The 24211-nt window shown below is 36.2% G+C and overlaps 1 protein-coding gene across 22 annotated transcripts in view; it reads left to right on the top strand.

Annotated features, from left to right (window-relative positions):
• Nucleotides 1-24211, top strand: part of RIMS1 (regulating synaptic membrane exocytosis 1) — a 516596-nt gene that overhangs the window by 271262 nt on the left and 221123 nt on the right. For all 22 annotated transcript variants that reach the window (NM_014989.7, XM_017010517.3, XM_047418419.1 and 19 more), the window contains one exon: nucleotides 21764-22104. In NM_014989.7, the coding sequence (NP_055804.2) occupies nucleotides 21764-22104 (341 nt within the window). The remainder of the gene's footprint in view (nucleotides 1-21763; nucleotides 22105-24211) is intronic.

The following is a 24211-nucleotide window of genomic DNA, read 5'->3' on the forward strand; positions in this document are numbered from 1 at the left end:
TCTATTTCCCATTTTATTACTTCTTTTGGATTAGTTATATTAGCATTCTATCTTTTCATTTTCTTGCCAGCAATACACTCTATTGCTATTATTTTGTTATTCATAAAATCTTATGTTATTAATGCTTAGTATATACTAACATATTTACCACAATATAAGAACCTCATTCACCATTAACATAGCTTATCCCCACAAATATTTTATGTTATTATTGTGTGATTTATTATAATGACAAATATGTTAAATTATGCTTGTTTGTCATCAATATTCATTTATATTTACCAACTGTTGCTGTTTATTCTTTCCTGTATTTTTATTTCCATTTAGCTTCATTTTCCTTCAGCTAAAAACACTCTTTAGTATTTCTTTTCCTGTGATGCTTCTGGTAACACATTCACTTTTTGTTTGAATCAAAATGCCTTTATTTTTAAAAACATGTTTTCCTGTTACAGAATTCCATTTGACATTTATTTTCCTACATCACCAAAGTATAATTGCATTGTCTTTTCTTCTGTTATGTTGAGAAGTTAGTTATCAATATTATGGTTACTCCTTTGAAAATAATGTGTCTTTTATCTCTGGTTGTTTTAAAAAGATTGTATTTTTTTTAATCATACTCTAAGTTTTAGGCTACATGTGCACAACGTGCAGGTTTGTTACATATGTATACATGTGCCATGTTGGTGTGCTGCACCCATTAACTCGTCATTTAACATTAGGTATATCTCCTAATGCTATCCCTCCGCCCTCCCCCCACCCCACAACAGGCCCTGGTGTGTGATGTTCCCCTTCCTGTGTCCATGTGTTCTCATTGCTCAATTCCCACCTATGAGTGAGAACATGCGGTGTTTGGTTTTTTGTCCTTGCAATAGTTTTCTGAGAATGATGGTTTCCAGCTTCATCCATGTCCCTACAAAGGACATGAACTCATCATTTTTATGGCTGCATAGTATTCCATGGTGTATATGTGCCACATTTTCTTAATCCAGTCTATCATTGTTGGACATTGGATTGGTTCCAGGTCTTTGCTATTGTGAATGGTGTGGCAATAAACATATGTGTGCATGTGTCTTTATAGCAGCATGATTTATAATCCTTTGGGTATAAATGGGATGGCTGGGTCAAATGGTATTTCTAGTTCTAGGTCCCTGAGGAATCGCCACACTGACTTCCACAATGGTTGAACTAGTTTACAGTCCCACCAACAGTGTAAGTGTTCCTATTTCTCCACATCCTCTCCAGCACCTGTTGTTTCCTGACTTTCTAATGATCGCAATTCTAACTGGTGTGAGATGGTATCTGACTGTGGTTTTGATTTGCATTTCTCTGATGGCCAGTGATGTTGAGCATTTTTTCATGTGTCTTTTGGCTGCATAAATGTCTTCTTTTGAGAAGTGTCTGTTCATATCTTTCACCCACTTGTTGATGGGGTTGTTTGTTTTTTTCTTGTAAATTTGAGTTCACTGTAGATTCTGGATATTAGCCCTTTGTCAGATAAGTAGATTGCAAAAATTTTCTCCCATTCTGTAGGTTGCCTGTTCACTCTGACGGTAGTTTCTTTTGCTGTGCAGAAGCTCTTTAGTTAGATCCCATTTGTCAATTTTGGCTTTTGTTGCCATTGCTTTTGGTGTTTTAGACATGAAGTCCTTGCCCATGCCTATGTCCTGAATGGTATTGCCTACGTTTTCTTGTAGGGTTTTTATGGTTCTAGGTCTAACATTTAAATCTTTAATCCATCTTGAATTAATTTTTGTGTAAGGTGTAAGGAAAGGATCCAGTTTCAGCTTTCTACATATGGCTAGCCAGTTTTCCCAGCACCATTTATTAAATAGGGAATCCTTTCCCCATTGCTTGTTTTTCTCAGGTTTGTCAAAGATCAGATAGTTGTAGATAGGCAGCATTATTTCTGAGGGCTCTGTTCTGTTCCATTGATCTATATCTCTGTTTTGGTACCAGTACCATGCTGTTTTGGTTATTGTAGCCTTGAAGTATAGTTTGAAGTCAGGTAGTGTGATGTCTCCAGCTTTGTTCTTTTGGCTAAGGATTGACTTGGCAATGCGGGCTCTTTTTTGGTTCCATGTGAACTTTAAAGTGGTTTTTTCCAATTCTGTCAAGAAAGTCGTTGGTAGCTTGATGGGGATGGCATTGAATCTATAAATTACCTTGGGCAGCAAGGCCATTTTCACGATATTGATTCTTCCTACCCATGAGCATGGAATGTTCTTCCATTTGTTTGTATCCTCTTTTATTTCATTGAGCAGTGGTTTGTAGTTCTTCTTGAAGAGGTCCTTCACATCCCTCTTGGATTCCTAGGTATTTTATTCTCTTTGAAGGAATTGTGAATGAGAGTTCACTCATGATTTGGCTCTCTGTTTGTCTTTTGTTGGTGTATAAGAATGCTTGTGATTTTTGCAAATTGATTTTGTATCCTGAGACTGCTGAAGTTGCCTATCAGCTTAAAGAGATTTTGGGCTGAGACAATGGGGTTTTCTAGATATACAATCATGTCATCTGCCAACAGGGACAATTTGACTTCCTCGTTTCCTAATTGAATACCCTTTATTTTCTTCTCCTGCCTGATTGCCCTGGCCAGAACTTCCAACACTATGTTGAATAGGAGTGGTGAGAGAGGACATCCCTGTCTTGTGCCAGTTTTCAAAGGGAATGCTTCCAGTTTTTGCCCATTCAGTATGATATTGGCTGTGGGTTTGTCATAAATAGCTCTTATTATTTTGAGATGCATCCCATCAATACCTAATTTATTGAGAGTTTTTAGCATGAAGGGCTGTTGAATTTTGTCAAATGCCTTTTCTGCATCTATTGAGATAATCTTGTGGTTTTGTCATTGGTTCTGTTTATATGCTGGCTTACGTTTATTGATTTTCATATGTTGAACCAGCCTTGCATCCCAAGGATGAAGCCCACTTGATCATGGTGGGTAAGTTTTTTGATGTGCTGCTGGATTTGGTTTGCCAGTATTTTATTGAGGATTTTTGTATCGATGTTCATCAGGGATATTGGTCTGAAATTCTCTTTTTTTGTTGTGTCTCTGCCAGGCTTTGGTATCAGGATGATGCTGGCCTCATAAAATGAGTTAGGGAGGATTCCCTCTTTTTCTATTGATTGGAATAGTTTCAGAAGGAATGGTACCAGCTCATTCTTGTATCTTTGGTAGAATTTGGCTGTGAATCCATCTGGTTCTGGACTTTTTTTTTTGGTTGGTAGGCAATTAATTATTGCCTCAATTTCAGAAGCTGTTATTGGTCTATTAAGAGATTCCACTTCTTCCTGGTTTAGTTTTAGGAGGGTGTATGTGTCAAGGAATTTATCCATTTCTTCTAGATTTTCTAGTTTATTTGCATAGAGGTGTGTATAGTATTCTCTGATGGTAGTTTGTATTTCTGTGGGATTGGTGGTGATATCCCCTTTATCAGTTTTTATTGCATCTGTTTGATTCTTCTCTCTTTTCTTCTTTAGTAGTCTTGCTAGCAGTCTATCAATTTTGTTGATCTTTTCAAAAAACGAGCTCCTGGATTCATTGATTTTTTTGAAGGGCTTTTTGTGTCTCTGTGTCCTTCAGTTCTGCTCTGATCTTAGTTATTTCTTGCCTTCTGTTAGCTTTTGAATGTGTTTGCTCTTGCTTCTCTAGTTCTTTTAATTGTGATGTTAGGGTGTCAATTTTAGATCTTTCCTGCTTTCTCTTGTGGGCATTTAGTGCTATAAATTTCCCTCTAAACACTGCTTTGAATGTGTCCCAGAGATTCTGGTATGTTGTGTCTTTGTTCTCATTGGTTTCAAAGAACATCTTTATTTCTGCCTTCATTTCGTTATGTCCCCAGTAGTCATTCAGGAGGAGGTTGTTCAGTATCCATGTAGGTGAGCGGTTTTGAGTGAGTTTCTTAAGCCTGAGTTCTAGTTTGATTGCACTGTGGTCTGAGAGACAGTTTGTTGTGATTTCTGTCCTTTCACATTTGCTGAGGAGAGCTTTACTTCCAACTATGTGGTCAACTTTGGAATAAGTGTGATGTGGTGCTGAAAAGAATGTATATTCTGTTGATTTGGGGTGGAGAGTTCTATAGATGTCTATTAGGTCCGCTTGGTGCAGAGCTGAGTTCAATTCCTGGATATCCTTGTTAACTTTCTGTCTTGTTGACCTGTCAATTGTTGATAGTGGGGTGTTAAATCTCCCATTATTATTGTATGGGAGTCTAAGTCTCTTTGTAGGTGTCTAAGGACTTGCCTTATGAATCTGGGTGCTCCTGTATTGGGTGCACATATATTTAGGATAGTTAGCTCTTCTTGTTGAATTGATCCCTTTACCATTATGTAATGGCCTTCTTTGTCTCTTTTGATCTTTGTTGGTGGAAAGTCTGTTTTATCAGAGACCAGGATTGCAACCCCTGCCTTTTTTTGTTTTCCATTTGCTTGGTATTTCTTCCTTCATCCCTTTATTTTGAGGCTATGTGTGTCTCTGCATGTGAGATGGGTTTCCTGAATAGAGCACACTGATGGGTTTTGACTCTTTATCCAAGTTGCCAGTCTGTGTCTTTTAATTGGAGCATTTAGCCCATTGACATTTAAGGTTAATATTGTTATGTATGAATTTGATCCTGTCATTATGATGTTAGCTGGTTATTTTGCTTGTTAGTTGATGCAGTTTCTTCCTAGCCTTGATGGTCTTTACAATTTGGTATGTTTTCGCAGTGGCTGGTACTGGTTGTTCCTTTCCGTGTTTAGTGCTTCCTTCAGGAGCTCTTGTAAGGCAGGCCTGGTGGTGACAAAATCTCTCAGCATTTGCTTGTCTGTAAAGGATTTTATTTCTCCTTCACTTCTGAAGCTTAGTTTGGCTGGATATGAAATTCTGGGTTGAAAATTCTTTTCTTTAAGAATGTTGAATATTGGCCCCCACTGTCTTCTGGCTTGTAGAGTTTCTTCCAAGAGATCAGCTGTTAGTCTGATGGGCTTCCCTTTGTGGGTAACCTGACCTTTCTCTCTGGCTGCCCTTAACATTTTTTCCTTCATTTCAACTTTGGTGAATCTGACAATTATGTGTCTTGGAGTTGCTCTTCTCGAGGAGTATCTTTGTGTCATTCTCTGTATTTCCTGAATTTGAAAGTTGGCCTGCCTTGCCAGATTGGGGAAGTTCTCCTGGATAATATCCTGCAGAGTGTTTTCCAACTTGGTTCCATGCTCCCCGTGACTTTCAGGTATACCTATCAGATGTAGATTTGGTCTTTTCACATAGTCCCATATTTCTTGGAGGCTTTGTTCATTTCTTTTTATTATTTTTTTCTCTAATCTTCTCTTCTCACTTCATTTCATTTCATCTTCCATCACTGATACCCTTTCTTCCAGTTGATCGAATCGGCTACTGAGGCTTCTGCATTCATCACATAGTTCTTGTGCCATGGTTTTCAGCTCCATCAGGTCCTTTAAGGACTTCTCTGCTTTGGTTATTCTAGTTAGCCATTTGTCTAATTTTTTTTCAAGGCTTTTAACTTCTTTGCCATGGGTTCAAACTTCCTCCTTTAGTTCAGAGTAGTTTGATCATCTGAAGCCTTCTTCTCTCGACTCATCAAAGTCATTCTCCATCCAGCTTTGTTTCATTGCTGGTGAGGAGCTGTGTTCCTTTGGAGGAGGAGAGGCACTCTGATTTTTAATTTCCAGTTTTTCTGCTCTGGTTTTTCCCCACCTTTGTGGTTTTATCTACCTTTGGTCTTTGATGATGGTGATGTATAAATGGGTTTTTGGTGTGGATGTCCTTTCTGTTTGTTAGTTTTCCTTTTAGCAGGCAAGACCCTCAGCTGCAGGTCTGTTGGAGTTTGCTGGAGGTCTACTCCAGACCCTGTTTGCCTGGGTATCATCAGTGGAGGCTGCAGAACAGCAGATATTGGTGAACAGCAAATGTTGCTGCCTGATTGTTCCTCTGGAAGTTTTGTCTCAGAGGAGTACCCGGCCATGTGAGGTGTCAATCTGCCCCTACTGGCTGGGGGGGGGGGGCCTCCCAGTTAGGCTACTCGGTGGTCAGGGACCCACTTGAGGATGCAGTCTGTCCGTTCTCAGATCTCCAGCTGCGTGCTGGGAGAACCAATACTGTCTTCCAAGCTGTCAGACAGGGACATTTAAGTCTCCAGAGGTTTCTGCTGCCTTTTGTTTGGCTATGCCCTGCCCCCAGAGGTGGAGTTTACAGAGGCAGGCAGGTCTCCTTGAGCTGTGGTGGGCTCCACCCAGTTCGAGCTTCCCGGCCACTTTGTTTACATACTCAAGCCTTGGCAATGGTGGGCGCCCCTCCCCCAGTCTCGCTGCTGCCTTGCAGTTTGATCTCAGACTGCTGTGCTAGCAATGAGCGAGACTCCGTGGGCATAGGACCCTCCGAGCCAAGTGCAGGATATAATCTCCTGGTGTGCCATTTGCTAAGACTGTTGGCAAAGCGCAGTATTAGGGTGGGAGTGACCCGATTTTCCAGGTGCCGTCTGTCACCCCTTTCTTTGACTAGGAAAGGGAATTCCCTGATCCCTTGTGCTTCCTGGGTGAGGCAATGCCTCACCCTGATTTGGCTCACACTCGGTGCACTGCACCCACTGTCCTGCACCCACTGTCTGACACTCCCCAGTGAGATGAACCCGGTACCTCAATTGGAAATGCAGAAATCACCCGTCTTCTGCATCGCTCACGCCTGGAGCTGTAGACTGGAGCTGTTCCTATTTAGCCATCTTGGCTCCACAAAAGTTTGTATTTTTCTGTAGTTTTATTATGATGTTCCTATATGTTGTTTTCTTTGTATTTATTCTACTGATGGTTTGCAGCAGTTCTTAAATCTGTGGCATAATGTCTCTCATTGGTTTATTAGACAGTTCCAGCTGCTATAACAATATACCATAGATTATGTGGCTTGAAAAACAAACATGTCTCTCTCACAGGTCTAGATACTAGAAGTTCAACATCAATATAACAGCAGATTTGTTGTCTCAAATCCTGGTTTGCAAACAACAACCTTCTTACTATATCTACAAATGGCAGGGAGAGAACAGTGTGGTCTCTTTCTTCTTATAAAGGAATTGATCCCATCATTGAGGTTTCACACTTATGACCTCAAGTAAACCTAATTACCCTCCAAAGGCCCCAACTCCAAATATATTTCAGATAAGGGCTTCAATAAATGAATCTGGGGTGACAATAACTTTAAATTCATAGCAATTGATTTTGGCAAACCATGGCCAGAAGTACTGCTTCTGCTCCATACTCTATATTATTTCCTTCTACGACTCCAATTATACATATATTAAATATTTTTTTCCATATTTTATGTGTTTATTGTAATCATCTTTGTTTTGTATTTTACATTTTATTCTCCCTACTTAAGGCTATGTATTTTATTCTAATTTGAGTTCACTAATCTTACTGATCTTATATTCTGTTTTGTCTAATTTGAAAATACACAAGTCTACTTAGTTCTTAATTACATAAGTTCATTTAATGTTTAGTTTTAGTTCTAGAATTTTCATTTCTTTTATGTAATTCCTGGCTCTCTGTTTAAATTCTCCATGTTTTTATGTAACTTACTGAACTTGTCAAACAACATATTGAAATATGTGCCTTACACATCCACTCCATTATCTCTGTATCTCCTGTGGGTCGGTTGGTCTATTTTCATTATGTATGTTTCCCTCTCTCTCTCTGTCTTCCTCTCTTTCTGCCTTTATATCTATCTGTGTGTGTCTCTCTCTTTTCATGTGGTATTGCCTATGTAGGGATGCCTTATATTTTTCTTGAAAAATTATAGATATAATTTGAGGTTTATGTCCTGTTACCCACTGAGACAATGTACTTTTGCTCCTTGCATGCAGTAAGAGAAGAGGCAGATTATTTTAATTCAATCAGAGATTGAACAGATTTGAAGCTGGAACCCATGAATATACCTAGATCTAATGAGTAAGGAGAAAAAATGCTGCTAGTAGGGCCATAAGAGAATAATGAATGAGGAGGCCACCCAAAAGGAACCATGATGGGATGAAGTAAACAGAGGGAAAAATATCTAAACTTTTCTCTCCTGACCTCTGGTATCCTACTGGTACCTATTATTTGGGGGAACTGGCACCTTAACAATACTGAGTTTTTCAGTCATTAAATATGGTATATGTCTGCATTTATTTTGCTCTTCGTATTAATATGTTTGGGTTTCCATAACAAAATACCATAAGCTGGGTAGCTTAAATAACGTAAAATTATTTTCTCACAGTTCTGGAGACTGAGAAGTCCAATAACAAGGTGCCAACAGGGTTAGTTTCTGTTGAAAGCTCTCTTACTGGCTTGTAGTTGGCTACCTTCTCACCCTGTCCTCAGAGGACCTTCCTCTGGGCTTATGTGAAAAGAGAGCTAGAGAGAGAAATACACAAATACACACACACATGCACACATACACAGTGAGAGAGAGAGAGACAGAGACAGAGACAGAGAGAAAGAGAGACAGATGAACTCCTTGGTGTCTGTTTTTTTTTTTTTTTAAGAACACTAATCCTATTGAGCTAGGCCTACACCTGTATGACCTGATTTTATTTAAACTTGATTACCTCTTTGTAGTCCCTCACAATACAGCCACATTCAGAATTAGAGCTTCAACATACAAATTTTGTAGGGATACTTTTCTCAGCAATATTTTCCCAGCAATATTTTGTAAATGTTAGTGTAAAGCTCTTGGACATATTTTGTTAAAATTATCCTTATGAATTTTGGTTTTTTGGGTATTTACAAATAAACTGTATTTTTAAAAATTATCTTGCTAGGTAGAGCATAGTGGCTCACACCTGTAATCCCAGAGATTTGGGAGTCCAAGGTGGGAGGATCACTTGAGCTCAGGAGTTTGAGACCAGCTTAGGCAGCGTAATGAGATCCCGTCTCTATTTTAAAAAAAAAAAGTAACTCTCTTAATTGTTTGCTTCTGGTGTATGAAATAAAATTGCTTATGTTTATTGACTTAGTATCTTGCTAATTGCTAAACTAATTTATTAGTCTCAATAGTGTTTTGTAGATTTTTTTTGGATTTCCTACATATACTATCATAACTTCTGCAAACATGGATTTACTTTTTCCCTTTTAATCTTTATTTATTTTTATTGCTTGATTAATTTGTTATGATCTCTATTACACTGGCGTATAGAGGTTTAAAAAGTATATATATTTGCCTTGTTCCTGATCTTAAGTAGAGAACATTTGCCTTCTATCCTTAAATGTACTGTTAGTGGTAGGTTTTTTGATGATTACTTTATCATATTCAGGAATTATTCTGAAATCTTTTTTATGTCTAGTTTGTTGAGCATTTTTTCTCATTAAAAGTGTTGGATTTTGTCAATACTTTTTCTTAAATATATATTTATACACACATACACATATATTTTATATATAAAATGTTTATTTTGCATATATATGTGTATATATATTTCCATTGCTAGGATAAATTTCACTTTGTAATAATGTTTTTATATGGTTATATAGTACTGTATTAAGTTTGGTAGTTTTTTTCTTAAATGTTTTTGCTTCCCTGTTTGAGAGACATTAGTTTTTAATTTTATTTTTAATCATTTTCAAAAATTTGTTGTGTCAGGATTTTAGTATTAGGGCTAAGCTGATCTGATAAAGTGAGTTCAGAAGCGAATGTGGTTCTCCTCCCTCTTTTTAAATAGTAAACTTCAAGTAAGATTGATATCATTCGCTCTTTAAATATGTTTTAAGGAATTTGCCAATGAAGATATTTGGTTCTGGCATTTTCATTAAAAATTGGCTTTCAATTATTAATTCAACTTTTTTAATAGCTAAAGGACTATTCGGGTTTTCAGTTTCTTTTTTGCGTCAGTTTTGGTAGTTTGAGTTTTTGAGAAATTTCTCTATTCATGTTACTGAATTTATTGACATACAGTTGTTCATAGTACTCTCTTATTTGTATTTTTAATAATTCTAGGCTCTGTAGTGCTGTCCTTTCTTTGAGTAATTATATTTTCTGTTATTTTTCTTGACCAGTGCTGTGGGATTTTATCAATTTTATTAATCCTTTCAATAAACAAATTTCTGGGTCCATTGATTTTTTTCTAGGTTTTATTTTTTTTTTTAGTTTATATTTCATTTATTTTCACTCTAATATTTATTATTTTCTTCTTTATGTGATTTTTGGCAATTTAAAATTTTGAAAGATCTGGAAATGGTATGGATAATTTATTGCAGGAGCAATAAAAGAGGCAAGAACATCAATTAGGATATTGCTATTAGAGATGATGGCCCAAATAAGGCAGTACAATGGGGATAGACATGAGGGAATAAATTTGAGTCATTGTGTTCCAGAATCAGAATTAAGAAGATTTGATGAAAGATTGGGGAAAGGGTGTTAGCAGTGGCAAATCCTTATGGGTGTGCAGCAACCTCAATTCTTGCCTTCTTAGATGAAAGAATTTGACTGAGGGGTTTAAGGCAGATGAAGAGACTAAGGCAAGTTTTATAGCAAGAGTGAAAGTTTATTTAAAAGCTTTGGAGCAGAAATGAAAGGAAATAAAGTATACTTGGAAGAGGACTAAGCAAGTGACTGGTGAGATCAAATGCATGGTTTGAAGTTTGGACTGGGGTTTTATATGTTGGCATACTTCTAAGGTCTTGTGTCCCTTCTTTCCTGATTATTAGTTTGGGGTGGGCTGTCCACATGTGCAGTGGCGTGCTAGCACTTGGGAGGGGAACATGCACAGTGTGTTTACTGGAATTATACGCAATGCTCACTTGAGTTGTTCTTCCTTTACCAGTCTAGCATTCCTAGACCAAGGTCATATACCAGTCAAACTCTGTCATTTTGTCTCATAGTGCACATGCTTGAGCCCACTCACCCAACTCCTGATATCTTATTGGGAAGCTGCTGATCACTAGTTTCAGGGTTTTTTTTTTTTTTTTTTTTTTCTAGTGGGAGACTGCCTTTTCCTGGTGCTGGCTGAGATTAATTATTATTTTAGAGAGACAGTTAACAACTTTGCCTGACCATCACTTGATAGTCGCCTGACATTCCTGGTGGTGGTGGGGAGCCCTCTCCTGCCCTGCTCATGTCTGTCTACTGTAACAAGGGTAGGCTAAGATCAATTTTTGATCAATATATTGGGTTACTCTGCAGATGGTGTTACTGTTAACTAAAACAAGAAGTACTGGACAAGAAAGTTTTTGAGAAGCATGATCATTTCTGTTTTGTATATTTTAAGTTTGAGGCTCCTGTCTAACATTTAAGTGGCCATATATAGTAAATAAGAAGATAAATGGATTTGGATAATTGTAAAGATGTCTGAGCTAGAAATTATGATTTTAGAGTCAGCAGTTTATAGTGCAAGGTATTCTTTTTGGGTACAAAATAAAATTGAAATTCTATTTATATTTTTATCTTATTTTAATTTCTACTTCTGCATGTTTTACAATGCAAATACTGTGTTATTCTAATAGGCATGCATAATGCATTACACAAATATTTATTATATAAGCCTTCTCAAAAATATTTTTTCAGAGGGCTTGAGATCAAAATATTTGGAAAACTTTACATCTTTCATGAAGCCTATTTAAGTAACAAATGTAGAAGAGCAAGAATTGAGTCCTGTGTAACATCAACATTTAATAAAAGAGTAAAGAAGGAAGATTTTAGCCAGGAATATGAGAAGAGGTGATACAAATAGGAAAAAGACCAGAAAAGAAAATTGTCACTGAATTTTAGAAACCAAAAATGAGGGATGGTTAGGAATTCCCTATATTTTATTCTCAATCAACAACCAAAGAGATCCTATTAAAACCCAAGTTATATCTGGACACGGTGGCACATGCCTGTAATTGCAGCACTTTCGGAGGCTAAGGCGGGCAGATTGCTTGAGCTCAGGAGTTCAAGACCAGCCTGGGCAACATGGTGAAAGCCTGTCTCTACCAAAAAAACACAAAAAAACAAAAATTAGCTGAGCGTGGTGCCTGCCTGTGGTCCCAGCTACTTGGGAGGAAGAGGCGGATGGATCACCTAAGCCAAGGAGGTTGAGGCTGCAGTGAGCTGTGATGGTGCCACTGCACTCCAGCCTAGGTGACAGAGTGAGTCCCTGTCTCAAAAACAAAACATATGTGAGATGACTTCTCTCCTCAGAATCTTCCAATGGCTCGTCATTACTCATCATAAAAGTCAAAGTCATTGCTATAGTCCACAAAGACCTACTGGGTCTGACTCATTACTTTACTGAACATATCTTATACGACCTGAACCATCACTTACTCGGCTCCACCTGTGCCTTGAAACCACCAGGTATAAGCTCCACAAAGTCCTTTTTATTTGCTGTTTTTACAGCCTGAGATGCTTTCCTCCAGATACCTGCATAGCTTACTCTTACTCAAATATCACTTTCTCAATGAAGTTTTTTTGACTAGCCAATTTTATATTGTACTCTACCACCACTCAGAGTGCCCAATGCCTTTTCTTTTGCATTTATTCCTCAGTACTTATCACCATCTATAATACCACTTATGTTTACCATTATGGGTTTTTTAAATTTTTTCTTTTTTTGAGTCAGAGTCTTGCACTGTTGCCCAGGCTGGCATGCAAGGGTGCAATCTCTGCTCACTGCAACCTCTGCCTCCCAGGTTCAAGCGATGCTCCTGCCTCAGCCTCCTGAGTAGCTGGGATTACAGGTGCCCACCACCACGCCTGGCTAATTTTTTGTATTTTTAGTAGAGATAGGGTTTCACTATGTTGGCCAAGCTGGTCTCAAACTCCTGACCTTGTGATCCACCCGCCTCAGCCTCCCAAAGTGCTGGGATGAGCCACTGCACCCAGCCTACCATTATGTTTTGTTTCTGTCTGTCTTTTTTCACTAGAACATAAACTCCGTGGGGAGAATTTTTGTCTATTTTTTTCAGTGCTGCATCCCTAGAACCTAAAACAATGCCTAACACATAACAGGCACCTAAAATATTTGTGGAAATCAAAAATATGTACTGAGTGTATCACTTTATATTGCAAAATAAAATAATATTTATTTACCTTTAGTTTGAAGACACATCAGCAATAAATGTTGTATGATGCTAATAAAAATATTATTGAATGTTTACTATGTGTCAAACACAGTTTTGTATAACTCAATCCTAACATAGAGTCTATGAAATCATTATTATTATTTTCCCTATTTTATAAATGAGGATACTGAAGCACAGAGAGAAGATATAAGCTGTCCTAGGTGAGATAATGAGAACGTCAGCAAATAAGGATTCAGGACTATATATTCTACCTCCAAGGGCTGCTCCTTAACCATGATTCAGTATTCATTGCTGCCTCTTACCTGCCATTACCTACACAGAATCAGGGTAATAAAAATTTTAGTCATTTACAGAAACAAGAAAAGTGAGTGACAGACCATTAGATAGTGTGTAAACTAAACTTTAAAATGTAGAAACTTTAAATAATGTAATATAATTCATATTGAATTTATATATAATACATATATTTATACCTAATACATATACATACATATATAATGTATAAATATATATTACGTGTGTGTGTGTATATATATATATGTGTATATATATATGCACACATACACACACACACACCTCCATGGGAAAAAATAATTTTCTTACTGATATTGTATGAATCTGATAGCCCCCCCGAACCTTTCTGATAATGATAAAATAACCATTATAATGCTGATAATGCTTACTTACTATATTTCAGGCACTATGCTAAGCAATTTAGATGTATTATTTCATTTAATTCTCAAAACAACTCAGTGAGATAGGAACTATTATTACCCCCTGTCTATAGATGATGACAATGAGTCTTTGGGAGGCTTTGCAAGTTGGCCTGAGTGAATTGCAAGTAAGTGGATTGACAGATGGACGTGAGATGAGAACCTAGGCAGTTTAACTCTAGAAATCACTCTTCTTTGCAGGTTGACAGTGAAATGAAGTATCCTTCAGTAAACATGTTGAGACGGTTATCTATGAAAAGAAATGAGTGTAGTTCCCTAACTCTTGTTATACCTCAAAATAGATTCTGAGAGATCAAGAAAGACAATGTAAAATGTTCAACCATATAAATAGTCAATGAAAATAAAAGTGAATATTTATAAAAGCACTTTCTGAGCTAAAGTACAACAGAAGGATTGCAAAGGAAGAGAATAATAGAATAGATGATATAAAATGAAAACCATCTTTATGATAACAGAAAAAAACCAATATGGCAAGCAACAAAATTAATAAAAAAACTATATCAAGGAGTTAATAAATCAATTAAATTGGTAAGAAATACTATGAATTTAATTCATAAATACACAAAAACCTGATTAGTTTACATGCTAACAAACACGGAAAACATTCGAAACAAAGTGTTTACCTTAACGGTACAACTTAAATGAATAAAAAAATGATAAAATCATCAATAAATGGTAAATGATCAAAAAAATATTTTTAATCATGTTATGAATATGTTAAAAGATAAATGTATAGCTATATGTAATACCACATATAACTATGTAACTGTGTATATGTGGATAAAAGATGAAACAGAAGGCTAATAATAAAGAGCAAAAGTCTTTTGACTATTCTCCAACTTTGTCTATTCATGAGAGACAAGGCACTATTAAGCATTTATATTTGGGCTAATAAACTCTTCACAGCTCTTGTAGTATTGCAATGACATATAAAAATAAAGGAAGATACTAAAGCACAGAGATGTCATTAACTCCTCTGTCCTTCCACCCAAAATCTCTATTTTGTTTCTTCTGTGGTTCACTTCTGCAGCTTAACACAGTCATTAACCAGAGCCAAGCAATGAATTTAGATTATGCTTCATATTCTATGGATTGGATACCATGACCACTGTCCTACTTGATGGGAAATGTTCTTAGCTTCAAATGTAAATGGGTCCTCCCTTTAGCTAAATTCCTTTATCCTATGAAGTTTTTGTTTCATTTGTTTTGTGTTCAAAATCGCACTATGCATTTGATCAATTTGCCTTTTGTGTTGTTGCTGTTGTCTTCTGGTTTATTTAATTTTTGCTCCCAGAATCCTCATTCTAGAGTCTCCATCCTCCTGCTCGAAATTTCTCTCTAGGGTTTCAAAGAGGGCTCTTCATCATGGGACTTCCCTTAACATTTGCTCTTCTGTGAAAACCATTTGCTTCCTGGATTCCCTCTTTCTTGGTAGATTTTGTTTTGCTAACAAGGATATGTGAGTGGTAAATTTTCCAAGTTCTTCCAAATTCTGAAAATTTCTTAAACTGCCTTATATTTGATTGATGGTTTACCTATATATAAAATTTCAGGACCCATATCATTTTCCTGAAGACTATTGATAGTATTTCTCCCTTGTCTTCAAACATCCAGTATTGCTGATGGGAATTCTGATACCATTCTATTTCCTATTCCTTTCTCTAGGACCCAACATTTTCTTTCTGGATACTTTTAGGATCTTTTTTTTAGCTTTGTTATATTGAAATTTCATAATGATTTTTATCTTGGTGGTTTCTTTTTCCATTCATTGTATTAATATGCAATGACTTCTCCATTCTGGGAATTTGTCTTCTATTATTTTTGCAACTTTATTCCCCTCCATATTTTGTTCTTTTTTTCTAGAACTTTTATCTCATGTTTTTTATTTCATGTGTTTTATCTCTCTAACGTTTTATCTCTCTAACATTTTATCTCATGTGTTTTCTTATCTCTTGTTTTTTCATACATCCTTTCTTTTAAATTCTTCTTTTATTGAGACAGTTTTACCATTAATTTTAAAAGCTCTTTTAAGGTTGACATCTGAACACTAATTAAAGGTTATTTTAAGGTTTCTTTAAGATATTTCCTGGAATTATCTTTTACTCTTCCAACATTAATTCTTCTCTATGTTGATTTTAGCCTTTCTCTTTAATGTTATAGTTTTTATTTTAATAGTTTAGTGTTCCTTGATTAGCCATATATAGGGGAATAAACAAAAGCGAGGCATGAGAATGGATGATTGGGGTGTGTGTTTGTGTGTGCATATGTGGGAGGTGTTTTTAAGTGAACAACTGGAGAATCAGCCATTAGGATGGAGAAAACCTACCTGCCAGAATGAGAAAGGCTCTTTGCAGGTCAACAACACCTGTCTGTTTCAGATTTGTGGGAAAGTGGTCATTCTGCATATGGAAAATAAACTTAAAAAAAAAAAAGACAAATAGTCATCTGTTTTAATTCTATTTCTCACTTCTCTCCTGCCATAGTATCTGCCATCTAACCTAGATCTTCTCATGGGTTCTGCAGAGAAAATCAACTCCGTTCTTGGTTACGGCCCTCCTCCATCTGTGATTTGAGCTACAGCTTCCTCCATTTTGTTTCACTTACCACCCTTTTACATACATACACTTAGCAGAAATTCATTGTTATCTCCCTTCCTTGAGGGTCCTCTTTTGCTGTGGGGTTTATGGTTCTATTATCTAAATGAATCTCACTGTATTATTTCAAATTTGAAATATTTGTAAGAGTATAGGGTTTGGGGGCATTATTAAGTCATTAGATTTTAAAATGCAGAATTGATATTGTCACTTTTGGGTTACAATTTAGCACCCCTTTTGGGAAGCTATTTTGCAAATTATACAGAGAGCCCCAACTGTTACCACACAGTGATTATATAAGAGGAGCTTTAAATATGTTCTAAAATTTTACCAAATAATTTGATTTTTTCTAATGTATCCTAAAAAAAGACCATAAATATGAAAAAAAGTTTGATCAACACACTTTTCACTGCAGAGTTCTGTGTTAATGTGAAAGGTTATAAGCAGTTTAAGGACTAGGTAAGTGATATTCCAACTCTGTAGAATATTTTGCAGATATTAAAATGCTTTAGAAACGTTTAGAATCACATAGAAATACTTGTGCCATAATATTAAATATATAAATAGGATATAGAGTAACAGTGGAATCTCAGTTATTTTAAATTTGCATAGAAAATTGTATTAAAATGCTAATAGTAAGACAGTGGAATGGGAAGTGATTTACCCATTAAAAAGAAACATTCTATATCATATTTTTGTCTTTCATAAAACCACATATATTATAAACTTCCAAAGGGAAATAAATTTATGAATAGCAATAACAACAATAAAAGACTAAGAGAAACATACCCACATACACCCACCCATTCCCACCCACATACACATTCACACTACAAGAACCAAAGAGAACTCATTCTCATTTATTCTGACATCTACTCTTTTCTACCCTCTCATCTACTTTTGTCAACAAAGTTGAAATATTACCTTGATAATTTTGTCCCCAGTTTCTGCTAGAGTGCTTACTGAATAGAGAAAGGAAAATGAGCAACTGTAATTGACTATCTCGTCTTCTTTTTCATGTTTTTCAAAATGGTACCATAATAATTTTTAAAAACATCCTATATTCATTGAAAATTGATCTTAAAATTTATCTGTAAAAGTATCAAATGAAAATTGAATCACAATCTCTTTTTCTAAACCTTCATGCTTATATTTATTCTTTATATTATAATACTAAGTACCTCAGATGGATTCTTATAAGGAAGACATTTGTGTTAATATAAGAATTCTGAGTTGGGTGCAGTGGCTCACGCCTGTTATCCCAGCACTTTGGGAGGCTGAGGAGGGTGGATCACCTGAGGTCAGGAGTTTGAGACCAGCCTGCCCAACATGGTGAAACACCGTCTCTACTAAAAATACAAAAATTAGCTGGGCGTGGGGGCAGGTGCCTGTAATCTCAGCTACTCGGGAGGCTGGGGCAGGAGAATCGCTTGAACCCAAGAGGCGGAGGTTGCAGTGAGCCAAGATCGCGACACTGAACTCCAGCCTGGGCAACAGGAGCAAAACTCCATTCCCCCACCAAAAAAAAAAAGAAATTATTCTAGACCTCGTCGTGAATCACCTTAGTAATATCATCAAGAATAAATCAAGGGCACATTTCTTTTGTTCTGTGTGTCCGGCTCTGTAAATATTTTAATATTTCTTCCACTTGAATACCTTTTTAGTTTTTCTGCCAAACTTGTGGTTTTATCTATGGAATTTTCTGTATATGTATAGTAGAAAGTGTTGCAATTTTTATTTCTCTGGGTAAAAAATTCCTATGGGTTTTATAAAATAGTTTATTGTACTTCTTAAGAATTAAGAGGAAAAGACAATTAAAAATGCAGTTACAGCAAAAGGTCAGAATACAATTTTCAGTCCTGCATATTTTCTGATATGTGGCATGGTGTTTCAAAAGTCATGTAACTTCACGATAGTATTTGAATTGAGTTTGTGTGTGATTGCTTAACATCTGTAAATTGTTAAGATAAGTTATTGCACAGGCCTACTTTAGTTTAGATTAGTTTGGAACACATCCCAGGGTATTTAATCAGGGTATAATCCTGCATAGTGCAATTTCTAAAAGGTGTGTTTGTGTGCTTTAAATAAATAGCATTTTTTTGTAGGCAAAGTTACGTCTTATCCTCTTTTCTAAAAAAAAATCTGTTAAAAATGACTCCCTACAGCACTCTTGTATTATCTATAGCTTCAGGCAAATATAATACTTAATACTGACTTCAAAAAATGTACTGTAGAGGTCTGCAATGTTTGGTATTAACTGTGTTGAAATGTATGACAATATTCTATTGTAATCTTATATATTTTTCTTTATAACTTATATGAGCAATTTATTTTTTATTTGTAAAATTTGTGGTATGATTAATTTGTAGAACTGAAAATAGAGACTGGGAGGTGATATTTTGATAAAAATAAATATTTTAACATTGCCATGGTTAATTTTACTTTCAGTTTGGAGGATGGATTGACTACACTTATAGTTAATTTAAAAATACAAATTTAAAAATGTTGTGGTGTACAAGGAAATAAGACATAGAAAAAGTTTGGAATTATACAGTATTTTACTAAATGTTAAAAACAAAAAAATTAACAAAGCATCACAGACTTAAATGAATACAAAGTATTTTAAGAATAGAATTTAAAATGCCTATGCTGTTTTGACATAGTCACTAATTGTAACCTTTTGAATAAACTGGAAATGAAATTAAATTGTAAAATTCAACTTATTTAATAATAATAAATTGTGTTTCTTTTAATTGATCTGGTAGCAGTTCTGCACATACTCAAAATTTGGAACATGCCCAAATCTGGCAGTTAGTTCTCATTGACCCATTTTTTGTAACGTTTAAAAATGTGAAGCAATCAAAATAAGATTGTGATAATAATTTCTAGAGAATATTCAAATGTAAAATGAAGAGTATCCTTTACCCTTCATCAGTATTATTGTGCTCCTTTCTGCTTCTTTATTTAGCTTTATTCAATTTTAGAAACTTTGTAATTGTAAATTTGTGTTTTCTGGTTTTTTAAAAACTGCATATTTATCCTAAGTATACCTTGATATTTCTGTAGAAAAGAACCTACTTGATTTTATTTTATTTCTTATTATTTATTTTGAGATGGAGTCTCGCTCTATCGTCCAGGCTGGAGAACAGTGGCGGGATCTCAGCTCACTGAAACCTCTGCCTTCCGGGTTCAAGTGATTCTTCTGCCTCAGCCTCCCAAGTAGCTGGGATTATAGGCATGCACCACCATGCCCGGCTAAGTTTTGTATTTTTAGTAGAGACGGGATTTCACCATGTTGGCCTGACTGATCTCGAACTCCTGACCTCAGAAGATCTGCTCCCCTCAGCCTCCCAAAGTGCTGGGATTACAGGTGTCAGCCACCACACCTGGCTGAAAAGAACCTACTTTAAATGATGATAATAAGTTGCTTACTATTAGTCTGAGAAATACAAATTTAACGTCTTCTTATTTGATGTAAAATAGTCAAAATTTCATACCAGTCTTGTTGAATTACATGATTTCAAACTTTCTTATTATGGTCTGTCAGCTAAAGAGACAAAAAACAAACCAACCAACCAAAACCTTCCCACCACACACGTCCTGTCCCCACTCAGGGTTCTGGGCAGAAGAGACTCAGTGTCACTGACTGTTCATGAAGGTCCTGGCCCTGGAGTACTGCACCTTTTAATGTTACCCTTAATATGTCCATGTTCAAACAATCAGGACTTCTGAGGGACCTACTCAGTAATAGATTTTGTAAAATATACCCTTATTTGGCTAGCACTTAAATTGAAGTTACTTTCCATAAAATCCTTATTTTGATATAGGTTTATGCAATGAATTGTTCATCTTGTTTGACATCTTAGTAGATGAGAATTCCGTAATATTGGTTATAATACTTTGTGTAGACATTATACCTAACTGCTTTTTTGAACCTAGTACACTTCATTTTATGACTGGGAAAGTCTAAATAAATCAATTAACCTTCATGAATTTTAAATTTTTTATAGCAAGTATTTCTCTTCAGTCTTAATTTTTCCTATATTATAATTCATTTGAGTTTTCTTTCCTGGAAAGCAGTTCTTAATTCACCTGCAGTATTTTCCTTTTAAAAAAGTGTATTACTTTTTTCCTGTCTTTTTCTTATTCTTATTTTAGCTTCATCTTATTCTATGGCTACAGTTACAGTTTTTCCCCATTTATCTGAATATTTTCAGTAGTTCATTTTCTTCATTTGACCTACTAAACAATGCTTCTTTTACTATTTTCTATTACTTATCAGTTAATGTTTCTACGATTTATTCATCCTGATGCAATATTTTTGAGTACATGTTGATTGAGTCAGTATTTGTGAAAAGGAAGCCTAGAGTTTGGTAATTAGTTTTTCCTGTGGAGGTAGTTTCTGAAGTAGAAACAAACACAAAACACCTGAAGTGCTTTTGGAGGCATGTAACTGAGGCAGCGATGTAAAGTCACAGCACAAAGAAACAGAGGTACTGAGGATATTTGAAAAGACAGCTCATGGAGCTGTTAGCACCTATCTTTGCCCTGTGACAGCTAGTCATTGCTGCTATTATTATTTTTTATTATGATAATCGTCCTCATTATTACATTCATTTTAAAGGTCATCAAATGGAGAACAGACATATAGTTTATTTTAAGTGGTGCTACATCTTATAATTTATCAGTGGATATGTTGCTAAATGATGGTTCCCCAATAGCTCTCCTTGGGGAACATTACATTGGAGTGGTCACATATGAATAAACTCAGAGTCACATTTATTGCTTTAGTAAATATGTGCATGGAAAATTATATTTTATAGCATAAATAAGCTTAAGGTTAGTTTATCACTAAGAAACTAGAGAAAATATACACATTGACCTTTTTTGTGTGCTTACTTTGTATGTTTCTTCTATGTGAATATTTTTAATATTGCCTTTAATTGTGGGTGATTTTTGAAAAGACAGACTTTTTAAAAATACTTGCAAGTACTGAGGTTTATGTATTTACGTACTGATTCTGTAGTTCCTGGTAACATTTTTCTTTTTTTTTCCTGGTAACATTTTTCTAATCAGTTAACTACCTTGCTTAGAACATTTTTGCTAACACTCCAGAGTCAATTATAAAAAATATGACAGATATATGGTAAAAGGAAATTCAGAATAATCAAATCAGAAATGCTGAGAAAAAACCTCTACTCTGGCTGCTGAGAGGCTCTCTAGTCTCAGACAAGTCCCTGTCTAGGCATTCATATATTTGACTGTGACTTGTGGGAGGACCATTTTCACAAGAAATTTGCAAGGATAAATATGAAAATGAATACTGTTCTTTTTTTCTTAAATATATTTTAAGATACTGAAAAATTATTTCCAAGAGGGCATAAAAATTTATATTGTTCTTTCTTCTTCAAATAGGTTATGTGGGTATGCAATTTATGTCGAAAGCAACAAGAAATCTTAACCAAATCTGGGGCATGGTTCTTTGGAAGTGGCCCTCAGCAGACAAGTCAGGATGGAACCCTGAGTGATACAGCTACAGGTGCTGGCTCTGAGGTACCAAGAGAAAAGAAAGCACGACTCCAAGAGCGATCGCGGTCTCAGACACCCCTAAGCACAGCAGCTGCCTCCTCCCAGGATGCTGCTCCTCCCAGCGCACCACCAGACAGGAGCAAAGGGGCTGAGCCCTCGCAGCAAGCCTTGGGGCCTGAACAGAAGCAGGCTTCATCCAGGTCTAGAAGTGAACCTCCTAGAGAGAGGTAATAGTTCTTTCACCCTGTAAGCAAAAGGCAAGATTTTGCTAGGAGAGCAAAGCCGTTTTCAAGAATTTAACTTCTATTACGAGGAATATGTGGAAGTAGTACTTCTCAGGCCCCACATGGAAAAACAAAAGGCCTGAGGGGCGTTGTCTATCTCTAGAATGTATTCCTTAGGAGACCTTTGTTGAAAGCATTTCTTTCATATCATGCACAGATGTAAACATGAACTAAGTCACCCAGCTGAGCTACCAACTTCCAATGATGAACTCAGAAAAGCTCTTAGATCATGTTTCACTTATAAACCTAGCCCTTTAATTAAAAGTGTGCTCTGAGAGGATGTGATGGGGGAATCTGACCTATCAGAAAGTATGTGGACACATCAGAGAAGCCTTCTTTAAGGGTATTTCTTTTATGCTGAGCTCTAAAGAGTGACTTTGAAATTAACCAGGAGAAGGGAAGGATGGGTGCTCCAGGTATCTGCACAGGCACATGGCCTGAAGGAACAAGCCCAACGTGAGGGCCTCCTAAAGGATAGCTGCTGGCTACAGTGCAAGTAGCAGAGGCAATGTGGAGGAGAAAAGGCTGGTGAGGTGGTGAAGGGACAGGTTACATTTTATAGCTTTTATTGTAGGTGAAAGGGAAGCCACTGAATATTTAAACAGGGACGAATATGATCAGATTATTTACTTTGATTGATTCATTCAAAAATGTATTCATGGGCAAACATGAAGCTATGCACTGGGAAAAAGTGTTGACAAAGAAGACAGAGCCCTTATCTTCATGAGGCTCATGATTTTGGGGCCAGGACTTTTGTTAGCACCTAGACTGGGCTTATTGTTTTTGTATGTGTAACCATTACTTGGAGAAAGGAGGCTCCAAGGAAAGCTTTTGAACCCCTTTTCAAGCAAAGCCCATACAGTAAAAGATCAAGGACTTCAAAGTTAAATAGGTCTGGATTCTAGTCCTGGCTCTGCCACAATAGGCAGTAAAAACTCACTTGCAGGGTTGTGGCAGGTATTAAAAGAGAACATGTGTTCCCAAGCTGGCACATAGTAGGCTTTCAGTGAATGTAGCTATTATTCAAGCCAGTAGTCATTGTGTATTTACTACAGATAAACACTGTGCCAGGAACCAGAGGGCATAAAGATGATTAGAACATACATGGTCCCTTTTCTGACAAATCCTAGGGAAGAGACCACACACTATTCTAGGGAAGACAGACACCTAGGTAATTAACAAGGATGCTAATTTGATCAAAGCTAGGCAATATGTATAGTATTTTGAGAGCCCTAGGAAAGAGGAAGTGACTTCTCAATTAAGCTTTGTAAGATACTCAGGAGTTGTAGGGGAGCTACACAGCGTATAAGAGGGCAGTACAAGAGAATGAGTGTTACTAAGCTATTTGGAGAAAGGATAGAAAGGACACCAGAGATATCTCAGGGAACGTAGAATTAATAGCATTTGGTGACAAATTGTTGTGGGAGAAGAAGAGACAAAAATACTGAAGCTGCAGTTTGGAACTGGTTGGAAGATGATATCTTTAAATAAGATAGAGAATTTGGAGCTGTAAAGTTTCTAAAGAGAAAAGAGTTCTGTTTTTGACATATAGTGAAAAACTATAAAAATTTCAAGAACAAGGGCTGAATAGATACTTTTTGTTCTGACTTTTTAGTTAAAATTTGAAGAAGATTGATAGGGACAAATAACTTTACTAATGATATAAATTCACAGGAAAGCAATGAGGAATTGGGAAGTACAGAAGCAGGAAGAGAGGTGGCCAGTGTAAAGAGCTGGGCAACTTCAGGGAGAAGCAAGATTGAAAGAGACACTGTTTATTTGTTTTAAATTACTGAAGAATTCTTGACCGTATTTTGTACTGTCAAGGAGTTAGAAACAGAAAATTAAAGGTAGAGATGAGAAAAAGTATAATTAGTAGAGCAAAGAATCAGAGACACTGGAGAACTCCTTCCATTTGCATGACACTCTACCCTTTCATAAAACATCTTCACAGATGGTGTCTCTAATCCTCACATGAACCTTGCAAGGTAAGTATTTTTCAGCATTTCAAGAAAAGTAAATTGATTCAATGTAAACTTCTAACAAGAGC

Source organism: Homo sapiens, chromosome 6 (assembly GCF_000001405.40).
Source record: "Homo sapiens chromosome 6, GRCh38.p14 Primary Assembly".
Taxonomy (NCBI): Eukaryota; Metazoa; Chordata; class Mammalia; order Primates; family Hominidae; genus Homo; species Homo sapiens.